At 42.1% G+C, this 23423-nt stretch overlaps 2 protein-coding genes across 28 annotated transcripts in view, besides 1 other annotated feature; one reads left to right on the top strand and one right to left on the bottom strand.

Annotated features, from left to right (window-relative positions):
- SLC11A2 (solute carrier family 11 member 2) overlaps nucleotides 1–23423 on the top strand; it is a 76624-nt gene that overhangs the window by 46289 nt on the left and 6912 nt on the right. For 13 of the 23 annotated variants that reach the window (NR_183177.1, NR_183178.1, XM_047428887.1 and 10 more), the window contains one exon: nucleotides 795–2814. Coding sequence is in view for 9 of the 23 variants with exons in the window: in XM_047428887.1 (XP_047284843.1) it covers nucleotides 795–872 (78 nt within the window). In the remaining 14 variants the exon portion in view is untranslated. Of the gene's footprint in view, nucleotides 1–794; nucleotides 2815–3055; nucleotides 3192–10908; nucleotides 11017–23423 lie in introns of those variants that run through there. The other 10 variants (XR_429104.2, NR_033422.2, NR_166670.1 and 7 more) reach the window with 4 other exon arrangements.
- Nucleotides 705–905: a silencer, noted in NCBI's record as "peak1733 fragment used in MPRA reporter construct". NCBI's record gives its function as "represses an SCP1 promoter by STARR-seq MPRAs in K562 erythroleukemia cells {active_cell/tissue: K562}" and the evidence as "EXISTENCE:reporter gene assay evidence [ECO:0000049][PMID:32103011]".
- The window catches only part of HIGD1C (HIG1 hypoxia inducible domain family member 1C), a 41483-nt gene continuing 28065 nt past the window's right edge, over nucleotides 10006–23423 (bottom strand). For 3 of the 5 annotated variants that reach the window (XM_017019783.3, XM_011538649.3, XM_017019785.2), the window contains 2 exons: nucleotides 21496–21630; nucleotides 10006–10169 (listed from right to left, as the gene is read on the bottom strand). In XM_017019783.3, the coding sequence (XP_016875272.1) occupies nucleotides 10066–10169; nucleotides 21496–21630 (239 nt within the window). In that variant the 3' untranslated portion in view covers nucleotides 10006–10065. Of the gene's footprint in view, nucleotides 10170–11990; nucleotides 12157–21495; nucleotides 21631–23423 lie in introns of those variants that run through there. The other 2 variants (XM_017019784.3, NM_001109619.4) reach the window with 1 other exon arrangement.

The raw sequence follows: 23423 nt of genomic DNA, 5'->3' as shown, positions 1-23423 counted from the left end.
TGGAGTGCAGTGGTGCAATCTCGGCTCACTGCAATCTCTGCCTCCTGGGTTCAAGTGATTCTCCTGCCTCAGCCTCCCGATTAGCTGGGATTACAGGTGTGTGCCACCACACCCAGCTAATTTTTTTTGTATTTTTAGTAGAGACGGAGTTTCATCATGTTGGCCAGGATGGTCTCGATCTCCTGACCTCATGATCCGCCCACCTTGGCCTCCCAAAGTGCTGGGTTTACAGGCGTGAGCCACCGCACCCAGCTGGGAATTGTGTTTTAAAAGCAGCTTCGGTGATTCTGATGCAGGCTGACAAACATTTGGGACCCACAGGTCATCTTTCTCCCTCTTGGTACATGCCATTTCATGTTTTTGTTTTTTAAATGAAAGGCTTTTCTCTGCTCCAGTGCCAAAGGATAATAGGGCTCAGGATTGAAACCATTGGGAATTTGATTTCTAATTCACACAGTAGTAAAATACAAAAGCATTCTGCTTGTTTGTTCTTATCCTGATTTGAAGCACCCATCCTTAGGCAGAGTGTGTCACAAGAATAGTCAGAGTGCTAATTTTGCTAAGGACATTTGGTACCATCTCAGTCCTTAACTATTTCAGCTCCTACCTGTTATTTTGCATATCAGAAGCCATTCATGTATGTATCTGTAAGCCATTTCTTTTCTGAAATAAAAATCAATATAGCAGTACAGAAAAAAAGGCCTAAATTGATGTGCTAATTATAGGTACTTAAAAGCTGATTTCAATAAATACGTGAAAATCAGTCTAACCCTCTTCCATCTTTTTTTCCTTAGTGCCATCTGGGATTGACAGCTCAGCCTGAACTCTATCTTCTGAACACCATGGACGCTGACTCACTTGTGTCTAGATGACTGACAGCCTGAGAGACTCTATAAGAACATGTTTTTCTAAGCCCTTTTTGTGCCAGGTGTCCCGTTAACGTCTCTGTTAGTTCAGAGGTGAGTTTTGTTCAGACGTTTTGAACAAAAGGCAAAGATTTCCTCATGGGAAGGGTGTTCAAAACTGACAGCTATAAATGTAGGTCAGAGACCCACCCACCTCATAACAGTCATACACTCCCAGAGTTAAACGATTGGCCTCTGATGGCCACACACCCCTATGGGCTTGTGTCTTGGACTCTGGGATTTAAAAGATATATATGTATATATATTTATGTAAACCTGAGCATCTCAGTTTGGGTAGAGTTTTAAGGTTATATGAAACTGATAGAACTTTTGTATTTTTTTTTTAAATATTGTTTTGATATATCAGATATTTGTTTTGTCTGGATCACAAGTGAGAAAGAAAAGAGAACAATGCTCTTTTTCACAATGAACTGGTCAAATTGACTATCTTGTAAAGTGATACTTTACTATGTCAGTGAAATTTCAGTTTGATTTTAGTCAACCAGATTATATCCTTTGTATCTACTGATATTAACACATCATATTAACACATCATTTCTTAAAAAAACATTTCTTCTGTTTGGCAATCATAATTAACTCTGGTTATCAGCCTATTTTGTAATTATTGTCTTTGTCGTCACTTTTCTTGAATTGTTTTCTAGTCATTAAACAGATATGAAGGCATTGCCAAAGAGCTTTAATATCCAGTAACAAGATCCAGAAACCACACTTTAACCAGTGATCAGTTTTCCGTGCTGCATTGTAACTCAGCTCATTCTGGCATTCAAGTTTTAGGCAAAAAAAGAGGAAACTTCTAACATTTAGCTTGTAAGTCCTGACATAAGATAGTGAAGATATTTATCTTCTTTCTAATATTTGTATAGTCCGCCAATGTATTTTCTTCCCACTATTCCCATTAACATACCAAACACTGTTTCTAGGTCCAAAGTCTATTTCTAGGAGTGGCCAATATTTGTATTGTTGAATCTCCTAGGGAATGCTAAATGTTTCACTTTAAAATACCTATTTATACCAAGTAGCATGAGATTAGTACTAGAGTGAGATTTGGAATATTAGTCCACATATCACAAACTGCTTGCCTACATGTATAGATTTTTTTTTTCACCCACCTTCCTAACCAGGAATTTGTTTCCTTAAATTTGTTGTTGTTGTTGTTGTTGTTTGTTGTTATTTTTTTGAGAAGAGTCTTGCCCTGTCGCCAAGGTGGGAATGCATTGACGTGATCTCAGTTCACTGTAACCTCTACCTCCCCGGTTTAATCGATTCTCCTCCTTCAGCCTCCTGAATAGCTGGGATTACAGGCACCACATTTTTAGTGGAGATGGGGTTTCACCATGTTGGCCAGGCTGGTCTCAAACTCTTGACCTCAAGTGATCTACCTGCCTCAGCCTCCCAAAGTGCTGGGATTACAGGTGTGAGCCACTGCACCCAGCGTTTTTTGTTGTTAAGACAGGGTCTTGCTCTGTTGCCCAGGCTGGAGTGCAGTGGTGTGATCTCAGCTCACTGCAACTTCTGCCACCTGGGCTTAAGCCATCCTCCCACTTCAGCATCCCAAATAGCTGGGACTGCAGGCACACACCACCACACCCAGCTAATTTTTGTATTTTTTGTAGAGACGGGATTTCACCATGTTGCCCAGGCTGGTGTTGAACTCATGAGCTCAAGTAATCTGCTGGCCTTGGCCTCCCAAAGTGCTGAGATTATAGGCGTGAGCCACTGCATCCAGCTCACTCCTCATTTCTTTCTAGCCCCAAAGGTGTTGAGTCAGCAAATCCTGCAGCCTTTGTGTGACTTTGAGCATCACTTTCCCCTTTCAGCATTAAATATATGACCTCTCTGCCTTATTTTAGAACTTACTACATTTCAATAAAACTTTTTAAAAAATCCAGACATTGCCTATGTTCGTTTATAATCGGCCCTTAAAGAGGCAGGGATTTTTCTAAAATGACACTTTAAAATTTCCTCATTTCTACTTCAGGGCCTCTTGAAACTTCAGATAATGAGAGCAGCCAACCCTGCAACTCAGGCTATAGAGTCCTTCTGATCTTAAAACTGAGACTGAATTCACATCAGTTTTACGCTTTTACTTGAAAAAGAGACTCTTAAGTGTTTTTGGTTTCTTTATACAGGACAACAACTCTAGATGAAACCAGTGTGTTGGATTTTCCCCGCCTCCCTGGGTGGTTTTATTTCTCAGTTGTTTCATTACCAGAGAGTGTTGGGGAAACGAAGGTAAAAAATAAAAACATCCTGTTGTGAAACTCATAGAAAGGTGAGGTGGTTGGTTAAGTACTTATGGAATTTCTATAGCTCTTTTCCAGTCCTGAACTATATGTTACTAGGAACAGAGAATACAGGTTTACAAGTGTACCGTTCAGGTCACAGAACTCCTGTAATCAGAAAATGTCATAATAAAGCAAACTGAATCATGTCAAAGCCAGTAGAGGAGGTTGATAACTAAGAGTGAGTCTTGGGTAAGCTTTTTTCTAAGTTAAGAATATTTAATCACTCTCCAATTTGTGGTATATAAATCTGGATTACTATAAGTGTACTTGTGCATATATTAATATATTCAATCTTAAGAATAACCTGAGTGCATTCACTTAATTCCTGGGGTTCAACACTATAGAGTCAATCTGTAAAAGGATGCTCTGACAATGTATACACAGAATGTCAGAAAAAGTGCAATTACCTAATTGTTACTGAGCAGTCACTGCTACATAACTGTGTGCCAGCCTAATATAAAAGGCAGGTGAGTGTATCCAGGTATATGAAGTAGTTTCATTAGTAACAGAGGCAGTGGTTTTAGTAGCTAATATAAACAGCCTTCTCAATTTCAGACATTACAACATGAGGCCACTAAAATTTTGCCCAGGAAGTCTTTTGCAAATTCAAGTATTGTTATGTTATCTGTTTATAGGGTCTTCATGCAATGACCCTCAAACTTTACCCAAGCTGAAGTGGGTAAATTCACATCCTGCATACTTCCTAACTTTTCTTCAAATGTGATTTTACATTTTTTTTTTTATTATTATACTTTAAGTTCTAGGGTACATGTGCACAGCGTGCAGGTTTGTTACATATGTATACATGTGCCATGTTGGTGTGCTGCACCCATTAACTCGTCATTTACATTAGGTATATCTCCTAATGCTATCCCTCCCCCCTCCCCCCACCCCAAAACAGGCCCCAGTGTGTGATGTTCCCCTTCCTGTGTCCAAGTGTTCTCATTGTTCAATTCCCACCTATGAGTGAGAACATGCGACGTTTGGTTTTTTGTCCTTGCGATGGTTTGCTGAGAATGATGGTTTCCGGCTTCATCCATGTCCCTAGAAAGGACATGAACTCATCATTGTTTATGGCTGCATAGTATTCCATGGTGTGTATGTGCCACATTTTCTTAATCCAGTCTATCATTGTTGGACATTTGGGTTGGTTCCAGGTCTTTGCTATTGTGAATAGTGCCGCAATAAACATACGTGTGCATGTGTCTTTATAGCAGCATGATTTATAATCCTTTGAGTATATACCCAGTAATGGGATGGCTGGGTCAAATGGTATTTCTGGTTCTAGATCCCTGAGGAATCGCCACACTGTCTTCCACAATGGTTGAACCAGTTTACAGTCCCACCAACAGTGTAAAAGTTCCTATTTCTCTGCATCCTCTCTAGTACCTGTTGTTTCCTGACTTTTTAATGATCGCCATTCTAACTGGTGTGAGATGGTATCTCATTGTGGTTTTGATTTGCATTTCTCTGATGGCCAGTGATGATGAGCATTTTTTCATGTGTCTGTTGGCTGCATAAATGTCTTCTTTTGAGAAGTGTCTGTTCATATCCTTCACCCACTTGTTGATGGGGTTGTTTTTTTTCTTGTGAAATTGTTTGAGTTCTTTGTAGATTCTGGATATTAGCCCTTTGTCAGATGAGTAGATTGCAGAAATTTTCTCCCATTCTGTAGGTTGCCTGTTCACTCTGATGGTAGTTTCTTTTGCTGTGCAGAAGCTCTTTAGTTTAATTAGATCCCATTTGTCAATTTTGGCTTTTGTTGCCATTGCTTTTGGTGGTTTAGACATGAAGTCCTTGCCCATGCCTATGTCCTGAATGGTAATGCCTAGGTTTTCTTCTAGGGTTTTTATGGTTTTAGGTCTAACGTTTAAGTCTTTAATCCATCTTGAATTAATTTTTGTATAAGGTGTAAGGAAGGGATCCAGTTTCAGCTTTCTACATATGGCTAACCAGTTTTCCCAGCACCATTTGTTAAATAGGGAATCCTTTCCCCATTTCTCGTTTTTGTCAGGTTTGTCAAAGGTCAGATGGTTGTAGATGTGTGGTATTATTTCTGAGGGCTCTGTTCTGTTCCATTGGTCTATATCTCTGTTTTGGCACCAGTACCATGCTGTTTTGGTTACTGTAGCCTGGTAGTATAGTTTGAAGTCAGGTAGCGTGATGCTTCCAGCTTTGTTCTTTTGGCTTAGGATTGACTTGGCAATGCAGGCTCTTTTTTGGTTCCATATGAACTTTAAAGTAGTTTTTCCCAATTCTGTGAAGAAAGTCATTGGTAGCTTGATGGGGATGGCATTGAATCTATAAATTACCTTGGGCAGTATGGCCGTTTTCACGATATTGATTCTTCCTACCCATGAGCATGGAATGTTCTTCCATTTGTTTGTATCCTCTTTTATTTCATTGAGCAGTGGTTTGTAGTTCTCCTTGGAGAGGTCCTTCACCTCCCTTGTAAGTTGGATTCCTAGGTATTTTATTCTCTTTGAAGCAATTGTGAATGGGATTTCACTCATGATTTGGCTCTCTGTTTGTCTGTTATTGGTGTATAAGAATGCTTGTGATTTTTGCACATTGATTTTTGTATCCTGAGACTTTGCTGAAGTTGCTTATCACCTTGAGATTCTGGGCTGAGACGATGGGGTTTTCTAGATATACAATCATGTTATCTGCAAACAGGGACAATTTGACTTCTTCTTTTCCTAACTGAATACCCTTTATTTCTTTCTCCTGCCTAATTGCCCTGGCCAGAACTTCCAACACTGTGTTGAATAGGAGTGGTGAGAGAGGGAGGGCATCCCTGTCTTGTGCCAGTTTTCAAAGGGAATGCTTCCAGTTTTTGCCCATTCAGTATGATATTGGCTGTGGGTTTGTCATAAATAGCTCTTATTGTTTTGAGATACATCCCATCAATACCTAATTTATTGAGAGTTTTTAGCATGAAGGGCTATTGAATTTTGTCAAAGGCCTTTTCTGCATCTATTGAAATGATCATTTAGTTTTTGTCATTGGTTCTGTTTATATGCTGGATTACATTTATTGATTTGTGTATGTTGAACCAGCCTTGCATCCCAGGGATGAAGCCCACTTGATCAAGGTGGATAAGCTTTTTGATGTGCTGCTGGATTCAGTTTGCCAGTATTTTATTGAGGATTTTTGCATCAATGTTCATCAGGGATATTGGTCTAAAATTCTCTTTTTTTGTTGTGTCTCTGCTAGGCTTTGGTATCAGGATGATGTTGGCCTCATAAAATGAGTTAGGGAGGATTCCCTCTTTTTCTATTGATTGGAATAGTTTCAGAAGGAATGGTACCAGCTCCTCCTTGTACCTCTGGTAGAATTCGGCTGTGAATCCGTCTGGTCCTGGACTTTTTTTGGTTGGTAAGCTATTAATTATTGCCTCAATTTCAGAGCCTGTTATTGGTCTATTCAGAGATTCAACTTCTTCCTGGTTTAGTCTTGGGAGAGTGTATATGTCAAGGAATTTATCCATTTCTTCTAGATTTTCTAGTTTATTTGCGTAGGGGTGTTCATAGTATTCTCTGATGGTAGTTTGTATTTCTGTGGGATCTGTGGTGATATCCCCTTTATCAATTTTTATTGTGTATATTTGATTCTTCTCTCTTTTCTTCTTTCTTACTCTTGCTAGCGGTCTATCAATTTTGTTGATCTTTTCAAAAAACCAGCTCCTGGATTCATTGATTTTTTTGAAGGGTTTTTTCTGTCTCTATCTTCTTCAGTTCTGCTCTGATCTTAGTTATTTCTTGCCTTCTGCTAGCTTTTGAATGTGTTTGCTCTTGCTTCTCTAGTTCTTTTAATTGTGATGTTAGGGTGTCAATTTTAGATCTTTCCTGCTTTCTCTTGTGGGCATTTAGTGCTATAAATTTCCCTCTACACACTGCTTTAAATGTGTCCCAGAGATTCTGGTATATTGTGCCTTTATTCTCATTGGTTTCAAAGAACATCTTTATTTCTGCCTTCATTTCATTATGTACCCAGTAGTCATTCAGGAGCAGGTTGTTCAGTTTCCATGTAGTTGAGCGGTTTTGAGTGAGTTTCTTAATCCTGAGTTCTAGTTTGATTGCACTGTGGTCTGAGAGACAGTTTGTTATAATTTCTGTTCTTTTACATTTGCTGAGGAGTGCTTTACTTCCAACTATGTGGCCAATTTTGGAGTAAGTGCAGTGTGGTGCTGAGAAGAATGTATATTCTGTTGATTTGGGGTGGAGAGTTCTGTAGATGTCTATTAGGTCCACTTGGTGCAGAGCTGAGTTCAATTTCTGGATATCCTTGTTAACCTTCTGTCTCATTGATCTGTCTAATGTTGACAGTCGGGTGTTAAAGTCTCCCATTATTATTGTGTGGGAGTCTAAGTCTCTTTGTAGGTCTCTAAGGACCTGCTTTATGAATCTGGGTGCTCCTATATTGGGTGCATGTATATTTAAGATAGTTAGCTCTTCTTGTTGAATTGATCCCTTTACCATTATGTAATGGCCTTCTTTGTCTCTTTTGATCTTTGTTGGTTTAAAGTCTGTTTTATCAGAGACTAGGATTGCAACCCCTGCCTCTTTTTGTTTTCCATTTGCTTGGTAGATCTTCCTCCATCCCTTTATTTTGAGCCTATGTGTGTCTCTGCACATGAGATGGGTTTCCTGAATATAGCACACTGACGGGTCTTGACTCTTCATCCAGTTTGCCAGTCTGTGTCTTTTAATTGGAGCATTCAGCCCATTTACATTTAAGGTTAATATTGTTATGTGTGAATTTGATCCTGTCATTATGATGTTAGCTGGTTATTTTGCTCGTTAGTTGATGCAGTTTCTTCCTAGCATCGATGGTCTTTACAATTTGGCATGTTTTTGCAGTGGCTGGTACCAGTTGTTCCTTTCTATGTTTAATGCTTCCTTCAGGAGTTCTTGTAGGGCAGGCCTGGTGGTGACAGAATCTCTCAGCATTTGCTTGTCTGTAAAGTATTTTATTTCTCCTTCACTTATGAAGCTTAGTTTGGCTGGATATGAAATTCTGGGTTGAACATTCTTTTCTTTAAGAATGCTGAATATTGGCCCCCACTCTCTTCTGGCTTGTAGAGTTTCTGCCAAGAGATCAGCTGTTAGTCTGATGGGCTTCCCTTTGTGGGTAACCCGACCTTTCTCTCTGGCTGCCCTTAACATTTTTGCCTTCATTTCAACTTTGGTGAATCTGACAATTATGTGTCTTGGAGTTGCTCTTCTCGAGGAGTATCTTTGTGGCATTCTCTGTATTTCCTGAATTTGAATGTTGGCCTGCCTTGCTAGGTTGGGGAAGTTCTCCTGGATAATATCCTGCAGAGTGTTTTCCAACTTGGTTCCATTCTCCCTGTCACTTTCAGGTACACCAATCAGACGTAGATTTGGTCTTTTCACATAGTCCCATATTTCTTGGAGGCTTTGTTCATTTCTTTTTATTCTTTTTTCTCTAAACTTCTCTTCTCACTTCATTTCATTCATTTGATCTTCCATCACTGATACCCTTTCTTCTAGTTGATCGAATCAGCTACTGAAGCTTGTGCATTCGTCACGTAGTTCTTGTGCCATGGTTTTCAGCTCCATCAGGTCCTTTAAGGACTTATCTGCATTGGTGATTCTAGTTAGCCATTCGTCTAATCTTTTTTCAAGGTTTTTAACTTCTTTGTGTTGGGTTTGAACTTCCTCCTTTAGCTCGGAGAAATTCGATCATCTGTAGCCTTCTTCTCTCAACTTGTCAAAGTCATTCTCCATCCAGCTTTGTTCCATTGCTGGTGAGGAGCTGCATTCCTTTGGAGGAGGAGAGATGCTCTGATTTTTTGAATTTTCAGTTTTTCTGCTCTGTTTTTTCCCCTCTTTGTGGTTTTATCTACCTTTGGTTTTGATGATGGTGATGTACAGATGGGGTTTTGGTGTGGATGTCCTCTCTGTTTGTTAGTTTTCCTTCTAACAGTCAGGACCCTCAGCTGCAGGTCTGTTAGAGTTTTCTGGAGGTCCACTCCAGACCCTTTTTGCCTGGGTATCAGCAGTGGAGGCTGCAGAACAGCAAATATTGGTGAACAGCAAATGTTGCTGCCTGATCGTTCCTCTGGAAGTTTCATCTCAGAGGGATACCCGGCCGTGTGAGGTGTCAATCTGCCCCTACTGGGGGGTGCCTCCCAGTTAGGCTACTTGGGGGTCAGGGAACCACTTGAGGAGGCAGTCTGTCCGTTCTCAGATCTCAAGCTCCGTGCTGGGAGAACCACTGCTGTCTTCCAAGCTGTCAGACAGGGACATTTAAGTCTGCAGAGGTTTCTGCTGCCTTTTGTTTGGCTATGCCCTGCCCCCAGAGGTGGAGTCTACAGAGGCAGGCAGGCCTCCTTGAGCTGCGGTGAGCTCCACCCAGTTCGAGCTTTGCAGCCGCTTTGTTTACCTACTCAAGCCTCCGCAATGGTGGGCGCCCCTCCCCCAGCCTCGCTGCCACGTTGCAGTTTGATCTCAGACTGCTGTGCTAGCAATCAGTGAGGCTCCGTGGGTGTAGGACCCTGTGAGCCATGCGCGGGATATAATCTCCTGGTGTGCTGTTTGCTAAGACTGTCGGAAAAGTGCAGTATTAGGGTGGGAGTGACCCGATTTTCCAGGTGCTGTTTGTCCCCACTTCCCTTGGCTAGGAAAGGGAATTCTCTGACTCCTTGTGGTTCCCGGGTGAGGCGATGCCTCGCCCTGCTTCGGCTCATGCTCGGTGCTCTGCACCCACTGTCCTGCACCCACTGTCTGACAATCCCCAGTGAGATGAACCCGGTACCTCAGTTGGAAATGGAGAAATCACCCATCTTCTGTGTCGCTCATGCTGGGAGCTGTAGACTGGAGCTGTTCCTATTCGGCCATCTTGGAACCACCCCAGAACATGGCAATGGCTACAAGTAAGACCGAGTGATTCGATTGTGACCACTTTCCTTCTAAGTGCTCCTGTTCTGGTTCTGGGAAATGATTTTACATTTTAATTTAAACATAGTTTGTAGGTTCTCATGCATAGATACTCTTAACAAATGAATACTTAGCATTGCTTTTTTCAAGCAACAAATATATTACTTTAGCTTTCTCAGAGTAAGATTACAAAATTGTGGAACTTACTGGGTTTTGTAGGAAAAGCTAGTTTCTAATTAAACTCTTAATCTATTTTTAGTGCTGAGTACATATTGAGAAGGTAGAATATTTCCAGTGGCCTGGTTAGAAATACTTTTCATTGCACAACCAACATGAAAGGATGACTTATTTCCATGCCAGCTGTCCTCAGTTTTCCTGACCTTAATGGAACATATTAGATCCAGCTGCTGGAATATTTACTCTAATGGAATAAAGCAGTTGGATTCTTTCCTTGCCTATTTTCCAAAGAGGACAGTGTTGACCAAAATATGTACTTGTTGGTAGCACTAGAAGATCTTCATGATAGATACAGTTGACAACTTTTAAAATAATTGTCTGTCCCAATGGGGAAAAATGTATATAATACACAGAACACTAGGTTAATATCCAGAATGCAGACATATTTTCATATATTCTTACATCTTTCTTATCCCCAAATACTGGACTTCACCTTCTTGTCAGTGTAAACCTCCATTACAGGAAACACTGAGGAAAAGGAAGTACCCACCAGAAATCATCTTACATTGCATATATTCTTGATTTTATTTCAGTGACTATTTTTTTCTCTCCTAGGCTTGGAGTCTTTGGGATTAAGCTTAAGTCAAGGCAGTTATGTCTTCAGCAAAGCCTAGTTAATTTTTTAGACCCTGAGGGCAGTTAGAGCGGAGTCCAAGGCCACAGGTAAACTTAACCTTTAACATCTGCTTTGGTTTCTTGTGTTTTCTACAGTGTCGTACCACATTAGCATTAGCACTTCTGGACTAAATCCTTTTTGCCATCTCAGGAAAAAGAAATGTGTTTGCAGTTTACCTTTGTATTCCTAGAACTACTTTAAAGTCTAAAAATGAATAAACAAATAATTAAATGTTAAACATGTGTTTGCGGTAAAATAGTCAAGTTTCTGTATAAGAATGAGATATAAAGTGGTGAACCAACTTTATATAACAACATGACCATTCTCCTCTGATGTCATTATTACCCATTCTAAAAAGGAGTTTATGAAACCGTAATTACTTTGCCCTATTTGGGGAGAATTAAGACATGGATAGGGTGTCACATTTAACATGGATATAAAAAGTCTGTGGCTCGGCGCCGTGGCTCACGCCTGTAATCCCAGCACTTTGGGAAGCCAATGTGGGTGAATCACCTGAGGTCAGGAGTTCGAGACCAGCCTGGCCAACATGATGAAACCCCATCTCTACTAAAAATACAAAAAATTAGCCAGGGGTGGTGGTGGGTGCTTGTAATCCCAGCTACTTGGGAGGCTGAGTCAGGAGAATCACTTGAACCTGAGAGGCAGAGGTTGCGGTGAGCGGAGATTATACCACTGCTCTCCAGCCTGGGCAACAGAGTAAGACTCCATCTCAAAAAATAAAATAAAATAAAATAAAGAAAAGAGAAGTCTTCTGTAACCATTATATAATTATTAATTTTTCAGATTGGTTTGGCAGATTATCATTAGTTTGACAGATTAGTGGCAGATTATTTTCTGCCACTAACTACAAAATTTGAAAAAATTAAGTCAGAAAATCATGCCCTAGGTTCTGAAAGACATTAACACGGGATATTTCTGAGTTGACTGTTTATGATTGTTGATCTGGAAATCAACTTCTTAAAACACTGAGACTTGAAATACAAAGGCTATGAGCATTCTGTGACACTTGTGTAGTAAAATTTGCTACATATTGAAAATTTATTCTTCATAATAAATAGTTTTCAGAAGCTTCTTGTCTTTCTTGCTTCCAGCATGTAAGCTTCATTTTTTGGACTCACTGAAGAATCGTGGTCTAATGTAATCCTTATACATAGAATAGAGAACACCTAGAAAAAGAAGGATGTATATCAATTGAGTATCCATGGGAAACAAACACTGAATTTCTTCCACTTGTTGTATTTTTATGAAACTAGCCCACAATTTAAACAGAAACAAACAAAGGCCCTCCTTCTTACTAGTTTTTGGTTTGGATCATACAAGTGACTCTAGAAAAAAACAAAAAACAAAACTCTAGGAGCCCTTTCAAATCAATATCAACTTAAATTTATGATGTTTTAGTGCCACCAAAATATTGGTGAAATGTTAGGAAAGTGGGCAAATTTGACCAGATGTGAAGATAAAAATAGTAGTCATCTCAATTAGCAAACATTTATTCAGTCTCTACTTGTACTCAGTATCCCGAGGAAAACAAATGGTGAGTGGATCTAATTCCTGCTTCTAGGGATTTATGATCTAGTGGGTGAATTGCCTGTGAGTTTAGGCGGATGATATGTATGGCTTCCACAGAGTCCTGGGGCATGCAGAAAGGGGGAAGTAGCCAGAAGGAATAGGGTAAGGAAGAGAGGAGCTGCTTTAATGAGTTCCAAGGATGTCAGCAAATGTTCTCACCCAAAAGCAAGTTAGGGAGTCACAGATTTAAACTACAACTCACATACCACCACCACCAGCCCATACCTGTCTCAGTTATCAAGGCATCAGATCTTGAAATTAGATCCCTCTTCTGAGTGTGAAACCCATATATTCATTATTGTAAGTATGACGTTTTGTTTTTGTTTTTTTTTTTTTGAGATGGAGTCTTGCTCTTGTCACCCAGGCTGGAGTGGTACAATGGCGTGATCTCAGCTCACTGCAACCTCCGCTTCCCAGGTTCAAGCGATTCTCCTGCCTCAGCCTCCCAAGTAGCTGGGATTACAGGCACCACCACCATGCCCAGCTAATTTTTGTATTTTTAGTACAGACAGCGTTTCGCCATGTTGGCCAGGCCGGTCTTGAACTCCTGACCTCAGGTGGTCTGCCTGCCTTGGCCTCCTAAAGTGCTGGGATTACAGGCATGAGCCACTGTGCCTGGCCTTACGTATGAGATTTCTACATGGCACAGGTAGGTGGTCTCCAAACTTTCCAGATTTATCTAAGTAAATATGTTGAGCATGCCTCTCAAAATCTGGATTTATTTATTTACTTATTTTATTTTTTTGAGATGGGGTCTCTCTGTCTTGCCCAGGCTGGAGTGCAGTGGGGTGATCTTGGCTCACTGCAGCCTCCGCCTCCCAGATTCAAGCAATTCTCCTGTCTCAGCCCCCCTAGTAGCTGGGACTATAGGTGTGCGCCACCACACCCAGCTAATTTTGTATTTTTAGTAGAGATGGGGTTTCACCATGTAGGCCAGGCTGGTCTCGAACTCCTGACCTCAGGTGATCCACCCGCCTCTGCCTCCCAAAGTGCTAGGATTATAGGCGTGAGCCACCGTGCCCAGCTAAACTGTGCATTTATTTATAAACAATATAAATGCGGTGCGTGGTGGGGGCTCATGCCTGTAATCCCACCACGTTGGAAGGCCAAGGGAGGAGGATCACTTGAGGCCAGGAGTTAGAGACCAGCCTAGTCAAAATAGCGAGACCCATTTCTACAAAAAAATAAAAAAATTAGGGTCAGGCGTGGTGGCTCATGCCTGTAATCCCAGCACTTTGGGAGGCCAAGGCGGGTGGATCACTTGAGGTCAGGAGTTTGAGACCAGCCTGACCAACATGGCGAAACCCCATCTCTACTAAAAATACAAAAATTAGCCAGGTGTGGTGACGGGTGCCTGTAATCCCAGCTACTCAGGAGGCAAAGTGAGGAGAATCACTTGAACCTGGGAGGTGGAGGTTGCAGTGAGCTGAGATTGCACTCCAGCCTGGGCAACAGAGTGAGACTCCATCTCAAAACAAACAAAAATTAGCTGGGCATGGTGGCACACGCCTGTAGTCCCAGCTGCTAGGGAAGCTGAGGTGGGAGGATCACTTGAGCCTAGGAGTTTGAGGTTGCTGTGAACCGTGATCACGCCACTGCACGCCAGCCGGATGACAGAGCAAGACCCTGTCTCCCCCCACACACACACAAAAAAAGAATCAGTGTAACTGGAGTGGAGATTACGGTAAGTTGGGAGGCAGTAAGTCTGACAAGTTCTCATCTGTCTTCTTGGGTTCTAGTTCATCCTTGCAGATTCCAGTTTATCTTTCCTTCCCAACTGCTGCCTTACTGACTTCAGTCCCCAGTATTAGAAACATAAGCAACAGCTTCGCATAAACTGTTTAGCCAACTCCAAAAATGTTTTAAGGTCATATCTCTGTAATAAATCCCTTCTCCTCCTCCTCCTCATTCTCCTCCTCCTCCTCCTCCTCCTCCTTCTTCTTCTTATTATTTGAGACAATGCCTCGCTCTGTGGCCAAGGCTGGAGTGCAGTGGCGTGAGCAAGGCTCATGCAGCCTCGACCTCCTGGGCTCAAGCCATCCTCTCATCTCAGCCTCCCGAGTAGCTGGGACCACAGGTGCATGCAGCTTGCCTGGCTAACTTTTTAATTTTTTGTAGAGATAGGGTATTCGCCATGTTGCCCAGAATGGTCTCAAACTCCTGGGCTCAAGTGATTCTCCTGCCTTGGACTCCCAATACACCCAGCCTAAATCACTTTTTATATATCACTACTGGTAGTTTTGCTTGTCTGAATCTTGACTGATACAGTTTGGAATTAGAAGTACTTCCAGAGGAACAGAACCAGCATGATAGGTTCTCTGAAATGGTTCTGGGTTATCCGGAATTGGTTCTCTGATCCGTTTAGATTTAAAGGCATTAATGGCCATGTTTTCAGTTATAAGGAGGATGCTAACAGTCCATGGCATTTAGTAGCAAAATAGTTTCTTAAATTATCACCCATTAGGCCAGGCATGGTGGCTTATACCTGTCATCCCAGCACTTTGGGAAGCTGAGGTGGGAGTTCGCTTGAGGTCAGGAGTTCGAGACCAGCTTGGGCAATGAAGTGAGACCCTCATTTCTACAAAAAATAAAGGCCAGGTCTGGTAGCTCATGCCCGTAATCCCAGCACTTTGAGAGGCTGAGGCAAGTGGACCATTTGAGCCCAGGAATTTGAGACTTGCCTGGGCAACATAGGGAGATCCCACCTCTACGAAAAAATTTTAAAATTAGCCAGACATGATGATGCATACCTGTAGTCCCAGCTCTGTGGGAATGAGGCAGGCAGGAGGATCTCTTAAGCCCAGAAGAGGCAGGAGGATATCTTGAGCCCAGGAGTTTGAGGCTGCAGTGAGCCATGATTGCACCACTGCACTCCAGCCTGAGTGACAGAGCAAGACCCTATTTCTCTTTCTTTTTTTTTTTTTTGAGACTGAGTCTTGCTCCATCACCCAAGCTGAAGTGCAGTGGTGTGATCTTGGCCTACTGCAACCTCTGCCTCCTGGGTTCAAGTGATTCTACCTCAGCCTCCCGAGTAGCAGGGATTACAGGCACATGCCACCATGCCTGGCTAATTTTTGGATTTTTAGCAGAGATGGGGGTTTCACCATGTTGGCCAGGCTGTTCTCGAACTCCTGACCTCAAATGATCTACCCACCTTGGCCTCCCGAATCCTGTGAGTGGCTCATCACAATACAAATTCAATCCCCAACCTCACAAAGTCACTTATGTTAAACCATTGCTTTAGAAGGAGTGGGACACTGAAAATTGGGAAGATGTGGCAGACATAAATGAAATGGGTCTTTGAACACTTAAATTTTAGTGAGACTCCTTTGCCAATAGAAGCAGTCCTTCCATCCTGTCTGAGAATGACTGAAACTTGGACCAAAAGGTAATCTCCACTAAATGAAATTGAAATGCCAGAACTTCCTTGGTAGAGTAATGGTTCTCAACCAGGGGCAGTTTTGTTCCCCAGGGAAATATGGTAATGTCTGGAGATGTTTTTGGTTGTCACAACTGAGGGTGTGGAGGTGGGAAGGAGTTCTACTGGCATCTCTTGGGTGGAGACCAGGGATGCTGTTAGGCATCTTGCAATGCATGGGACAATCCTCCACAACAAAGAAGAATCCAGCCCAAAATGTCAGTAGTGCTGAGGTTCAGAAACTGCCACAGAGGTAGGTATCCAAAGGATTAGGGAGATTGGTATGTTAGAGTAAATTTATCCTGCTTACCCACTCCCTAAACTAAGGTTGTGAGAAAGACATTTGTCAGGGTAGCCCTGACAAGAGTCCTGTGGTGACTGTTCTCTGTATGCCAGAAATGACAGTGCAAACTGCTGGGCTCCCTAAATTCAATGGGGATGATGGGATCCTGAGGCTGTGGGGGTCAAGTGGTAGCATTTGATTGACAAAGACAAGGAAAGCATGATTGTTGTGATGGGCAGCAAAGCCTAAGTGGTCATCAGAATAGTCTAAGTAAGCCACAGAGATCTTTGGCATTGGCTAACTGATTATGGTATCCCTAGAACTGAAACTTATGGGCAGAAGCAGAAAAGCTCTAGGTTTGGTGAACAAAAGTCTAACTTGAATCACCACAATAAAGAGCCAGGGCTCCTTGACCAATTCCTAGAATTGAGTCATTTTCACAGGCCCAGAAATCCCTTGAATGAAGAGGGAGCCAGATCCCCTTAAGGAAAGACCATGTTCGACAGACAAAAATAGATGTAAGTCTTCCTTCTAGCCTTTCCCAAAGGGGACCTGTGCTCATTTACCAGGGTACCTGTTCACCAAGGAAGGGAAAAGAATCACATTTATGGGGGATTTTTGAATCCTGGTTCTAAATTGACACTAATCCATACTTTGGTAGAATGAGTGTGGCCTACCAGTCAAAGTAGGGGTTTGTGGAGGTCAGGTGGTTAATGGAGTTTTGCTGTGGGTCTGTTTCATAGTCAAGCCTGGTGGGTCACTGAACCCACTCTCTGTTATTCCTCAGTTCTGGAATGTGTAATTGGAATAGACATACTCATCAACTGTCAGAATTCTTACACTGGTCCCCTGACCTGCAAAGTAAGGGCTATTATAGTAGGAAATACCAAGTGGAAGGAAAAATAGTAAACCAGTGGCTGGGCACGGTGGCTGACAACTGTAATCCCAGCACTTTGGGAGGCTGAGGTGGGAGGATTGCTTGAGCCCACCAGGTGAAGATCAGCCTGGGCAATGTAGCAAGACTTCACCTCTACAAAAAAAAAAAAAAAATTAAAAATTAGCCAGGCATGGTGGTGCACACGTGTAGTCCCAGCTACTCAAGAGGCTGAGGTGGGTGGATTGCTTGAACCCAGGAGTTTGGGGCTGTAGCGAGCCATGATCATACCACTACACTCCAACTTGGGTGACAGAGCAAGACCCTGTCTCAAAAAACAAAAACAAAAAAACCCACAAACATAAAACAAAAGCATTACCCTACTCCTAGAGGGATTGTAGAGATTAGTGCCATCATCAAGGACTTCAAAGATGCCAGAGTGGCTAGATGCAATGGGTCGTGCCTGTAATCCCAACACTTTGGGAGGCCAAGGCAGGAGGATTGCTTGAGGTCAGGAGTTTGAGCTTGGGCAACATAGTGAGACTCTGCCTCTACAAAAAGTCTTTGAAAAAAGATACCAGAGTGGTGATTCCTAAAACATCCCCATTTAGTTTGCCTATTTGGCAGAAGACAGATGGATCTTGGAGAATGATACTATTCCTATAAACTTAATCAGGTGGTCACTCTGCTATCCAGATGTGGTTTTGCTGCTGGAGCAAATCAACATAACATTTGCTTTTTGGTATGCAGCTGTTAATCTGGTTGAATGCTTTTTTCTGTATATCTTTTACTAAAGATAATCAGAAGCATTTGCTTTCACCTGGCAGGGCCCACAGTATGCTTTCACTGCCTAATATCAGGGCTGTGTGAACTCTCCAGCCGTATGTCATAATCTAGTCTGCAGGGACCTTGATCATCTCTTCATTACACAGGACATCCCTTTAGTTCATTATATTAATTTGTTCTGAACATCAAGGGGAAATTGGAATGCATTATATCTTTTAGGGCACTTCTTGGTACTCCCATGTCCTGTGATTAAAGACAATGGAAAACTAAATCCAACACAGGCAGGATGCCTAATAATCCAGGTTAGGCATGAAGGAATGAAGGTTTGGGTCACCCCACCAGTCAAATAACCATGAGTAGCCAAGGTACTTGCTGAAAGCAAAGGGGATATGAAATGTGTAGTGGATGAATATAGATATAATACTAGCAATAACCATCTGACCAGCTGCAGAAACAGACTGTGATATTTAGGAGTGTTTCTTCCTTATTTTGATATGAATGCATTTATGTATAGATTAGCCCAATTTTTTTCTATTCCCCACGTCCATTTACCTATCATCTAACATAAGAAGTGTTAATAGGATTCAACCTTATATCTCAGGATTTAAGTCATAGGATATCAAAGGGGAATGTGATTCAGCTCAAAGAGGAATCATCATCATCCAAAGACGTATGAAGGGATTCTGTATCCTCTTTTGGGAGATAACTAGCATGCTTTTGGATATACAAGGGGTGGCTGATTTTGACACTGTCTTTATTTGGAAGTTAAGAGTAATTAATAGAGGTATATATGGATGTCAAGTTGACAAGGGCTGGACAGTGGTAGGCTTATATTATGTCAGTTGAAGTAGCCTGTAACTGCATTTTCCAGAATTCCTTTCCTTTTATTACCAGGGTTAGTGCAAAAGAGACATCCTGTATGAGATTTAGAAGGTGGAAATGATGCAGCAGTCGAATTCTTCTTATGTCTGGAAGACACTGTTGCGGTACAGTTTTGCTTCTCTGCTGGCTCACTTTATTGGCAGGGTTCAGCAATCATGAGCACAGCCACCATGGCTCCTGCTGAATTTTCTCCTTCACCTTCTCTGACCCCTTTGCCAGCTCCATGTTTAGCCCCAGGATGAAAGGCATTGGCATTTTCTATATTTCACCTCCGTCAGTGAATGTGGAGGCTTGGAGATGGCTGAAAACCCACAAGGGTTCCAGTCTGTCCTGTGTATTGTTCTAGCTCATCTTTGCAGGTTCTGGATTTTCCTTGCTTCTACTTTCCTTTCTTTTCTTTTCTTTTTTTTTTTTTTTTTTTTTTTTGAGATGGAGTCTTGCCCTTTCACCCAGGCTGGAGTGCAGTGGCGTGGTTTTGGTTCACTGCAGCCTCCGCTTCCCAGGTTCGAGCAATTCTCCTACTTCAGCCTCCTGAGTAGCTGGGATTACAGGCATGCACCACTACTCCCAGCCAATTTTTGTATTTTAAGTAGAGATGGGGTTTCACCATGTTGACCAGGCTTGTCTCAAACTCCTGACCTCAAGTGATACCCCTGCCTCGGCCTCCCAAAGTGCTGGGATTACAGGTGCAAACCACCATGCCTGGCCTACTTTCCTTTCTTTTCTAATTCCTTTCCCGGCTCACTTCAGGCCCCAGCTCCAGATTTCATAAGCAAGAGCCTCATAATTATATAAGTTCAAATACCTGTAATAAATCCCTCATTAAACATTACTACTAGTAGTGTTGCTTTTCTCCTCAAACACTGATTCGCCTACCAAGCTATGTAGAGTTCCACTTACATGCCATGCTTCTGTGCCTTTGTTTTTTCCTCTGCCTAGAATCCTGAGGTCCTTCTCTGCTTAGTTAATTCCTCCTTATTCTTGGTTCAGTACATGGTTTACATCCTTAAAGAAGCCTCCTCTGGCCTCCCAGCCCTAGTTAAATACCACTCCCTTGTGTTTGTGCTTCCATAGCAAAAAAATTTTTTTTTCTTTTTTTGAGATGGAGTCTTGCTCTGATGCCCAGGCTAAAGTGCAGTGGCATGATTTCGACTCACTGCAACCTCTGCCTCCCAGGTTCAAGCGATTCTCTTGCCTCAGCCTCCCAAGTAGCTGTGACTACAGGCGCATGCCACACCTGGCTAATTTTTGTATTTTTAGTAGAGATAGGGTTTCACCATGTTGGCCAGGCTGGTCTTGAACTCCTGACCCTAAGTGATCCTCCTGCCTTGGCCTCCCAAAGTGCTGGGATTACAGGCATGAGCCACCGTGCCTGGCTTTTTTTTAGATGGAGTTTCACTCTTATTGCCCAGGCTGGAGTGCAAAGGCATGATCTCGGCTCACTGCAACCTCCACCTCCCAGATTCAAGCGATTCTCCTGCCTCAGCCTCCCCCAAGTAGCTGGGATTACAGGCATGTGCCACCACACCCAGCTATTTTGTGTGTGTGTGTGTGTGTGTGTGTAATTTTTTTAGTAGAGATGGGGTTTTGCCATGTTGGCCAGGCTGGTATCGAACTCCTTACCTCAGTTGATCTGCCCGCCTCGGCATCCCAAAGTGGTGGGATCACAGGTGCAAGCCACTGCGCCCAGCCAGCCTGTGCTATTTCTGTCACGGCATCTATAACTTTATATTGTCTTCTTTCTTTCTTGGTCTGTCTTCCTAAGGAGACTAAACTGTTTAAGGGTAGGGACTGAGTCATATTTCTAAACAGTGTCTGGTACATAGCAGGCATTCAATCAATGTTTGCTGAATGATGAAAATGAGGACTGTAACTTTGTAGTAAGGCTTCCTGTATTTGGAGCACATTACAGCTCACAGTAATAAGATTATTACCACGTAACTTTCCTTGCAAGCCCCATGCCCATCATTCTGTAATTTCCATCCTACGCAGGATGACTCCACTCTGCACGTCATGAAGGGGACTTAAGAGTATTGTGACCTGTTCTCATTAATGTAGGCCAAACAAATTTAGATTAATTTAGGTCCTAAAATGGACTTCTTGTTAGAACTACCTGATTTAGCTCTGGGTATAACCTGAATTAATGAAGACAATTTTATACCTTTTCTTTGGATTTGACTGGTAGGTCTTGCTTAATTTATGGACTAATAAAAAAAGATTTGCCTATTGCTGAAACTTGGAAGGAAAGAAGAAGGCAGATGAGATTTGTGGACTCTAAAAATGTCTTCTTCCTAAGCTAATAACTACATTTGCTGTTCAGATAGGCTGGGAAATACGATCGCTGCTCTTAGCCATGAGATGGGGATCACAGCCACAATATAGGCTGTGATCTATCCATAACTGCTGCGCTTGAGTTATAGGATAGGAACTATTCACCACTCCCTTCACTAAAGAGAAGAACAGCCCATTGCCCTAGTTTTCTACCATAGGTTTTGTCAGTTTTTGTCAGCTGCATTCATAAAAAATTAAGCGCACAACTGGGCCACAACCTCAACTAAGGGAAGATCAGTCTTTCCTACCCCTCTCTCATTACATCATTGTGACCCAACATTCATCTTCTACTATGAATGAATAAAATAAATAAATGTACTCTCAAAGACAGCTGAACATAAGATACAAATTAAGCGGGTTACCTAGAGTCACAGCTCCAACAACAAATCCTTGGGCAGCAACTCTCATGTGAATAAGATGAATTGACATTTTCTGATCTCTTCTGTACTTTAGCTTGTAAAGACCACAGGACACCACAGTCACAAAGCCTGCTATACCTGTGAATTTTAAAAGTATGGGTTATTTGGAAGGCTGAGGCAGGAGCATCGTGTGAGACCAGGAGTTTGAAAACAGCCTGGGCAACATAGCAAGACCCCATCTCTAAAAAAAAAAAAATTAGCCACACATGGTGATACACGTCTGTAGTCCCAGCTACTCAGGAGGCTGAGGCAGGAGGATCCCTTGAGCCTAGGAGTTCAGGGCTTCAGTGAGCTGTGATTGCACCACTGCACTACAGCCTGGTTGACAGAGTGAGACCCTGTCTCTAGAAAAAAAAAAATGTATGGGTTAAATACACAGCAGGCAAGAATTTTCAAGTGCTTAGAGAGTTAAATGAAAGAATGTCTACAGGATAAGAACCTGAAAGATAAGCAGGAAAGACTCCAGCAAAGAACATTTTTCAAAGAACCAAGCTGGATTTGATCTACCAGACTTTAAAATGAGCCCTTAATATTCTTGAGTCCAGTATTTGCAGTTTTGACTCTTCCCAGAAAAATTAGAACCATATAGTGTAGTAACTTGTCTAGTCATTTGTAATTTCCTGAGGAATGATTTCAAACTGTGCATGCTACAAAGTTATTATCTGTGGCAAGTCACTTAGCCAGTAAGTGAACTAACCCAGCATCTCAGTGCCCACAGCTTTTGAGTGTTTGGCTTTACTCTTCTCTTCCTGTTACCAAATAAGGAGTAAACCCAGTAGAGTGAGAAAAAATTTGTGCTTCTATATAAAGTGAAACAATAAACTTTAGTGAGAGATGAAAAGGTATGAATATATGCACAAGAAGCATAACTCTGGCAAGAACTGTGATTCTAGAAAAGTTCAGAAGCCTATACAAATATTTCTGTATTTCCTACAAATGTCAAGGGGTGAATATACTGCTGTGACAACCAAGATTCTGTGTAACTGGCTCTGAAACAAAGAACTCATCAACTAAATAGGAAAGATTCTAGAAAAAGATTTAAAACACTGAGAACTTAATCCATGACAAAACAAAAATAGCCAGATAACAGATACTGGGCCAGGTGCAGTGGCTCATGCCTGTAATCCCAGCACTTTGGGAGGTTGAGGCGGGTGGATCACTTGAGGTCAGGAGTTCAAGACCAGCCTGGCCAACACGGTGAAATCCCATCTCCACTAAAAATACAAAAAAATTAGCCGGGCGTGGTGGTACATGCCTGTAATCCCAGCTACTTGGGAGGCTGAGGCAGGGGAATCACTTGAACCCAGGAGGTGGAGGTTGCAGTGAGCTGAGATAATGCTACTGCACTCCAGCTTGGGTGACAGAGCAAGACTTTGTTTTAAAAAACAAAAAACAAACAAAACCAACAACGACAAAAATAAACCCAGATACTGGAATAATTTAATAAATGCCATAAGTATAACTTATTGGTATAGAGAAGAACTAACTTGGATTTGTATTTCACACTAGACCCTGAAAAAAAATTTTTGGATAAGTAAGAGTTAAATGCAAAACAAAACAAAAATACAACAACAAAAACTGAAGAAAATAGAATAGTGTATTTATAACATCTATAAGAGGATATGGGGCCGGGCACAGTGGCTCACACCTATAATCCCAGCACTTTGGGAGGCCAATGCAGGTGGATCACCTGAGGTCAGGAGTTCGAGACCAGCCTGACCAACATGGAGAAACCCCCATCTCTACTAAAAATACAAAATTAGCCAGGCGTGGTGGCGCATGCCTGTAATCCCAGCTACTCAGGAGGCTGAGGCAGGAGAATCGCTTGAACCCGGGAGGCAGAGGTTGCAGTGAGCTGAGATTGCACCATT

Source organism: Homo sapiens, chromosome 12, assembly GCF_000001405.40.
Source record: "Homo sapiens chromosome 12, GRCh38.p14 Primary Assembly".
Taxonomy (NCBI): domain Eukaryota; kingdom Metazoa; phylum Chordata; class Mammalia; order Primates; family Hominidae; genus Homo; species Homo sapiens.
This window is presented reverse-complemented; position numbering and strand designations above follow the sequence as displayed.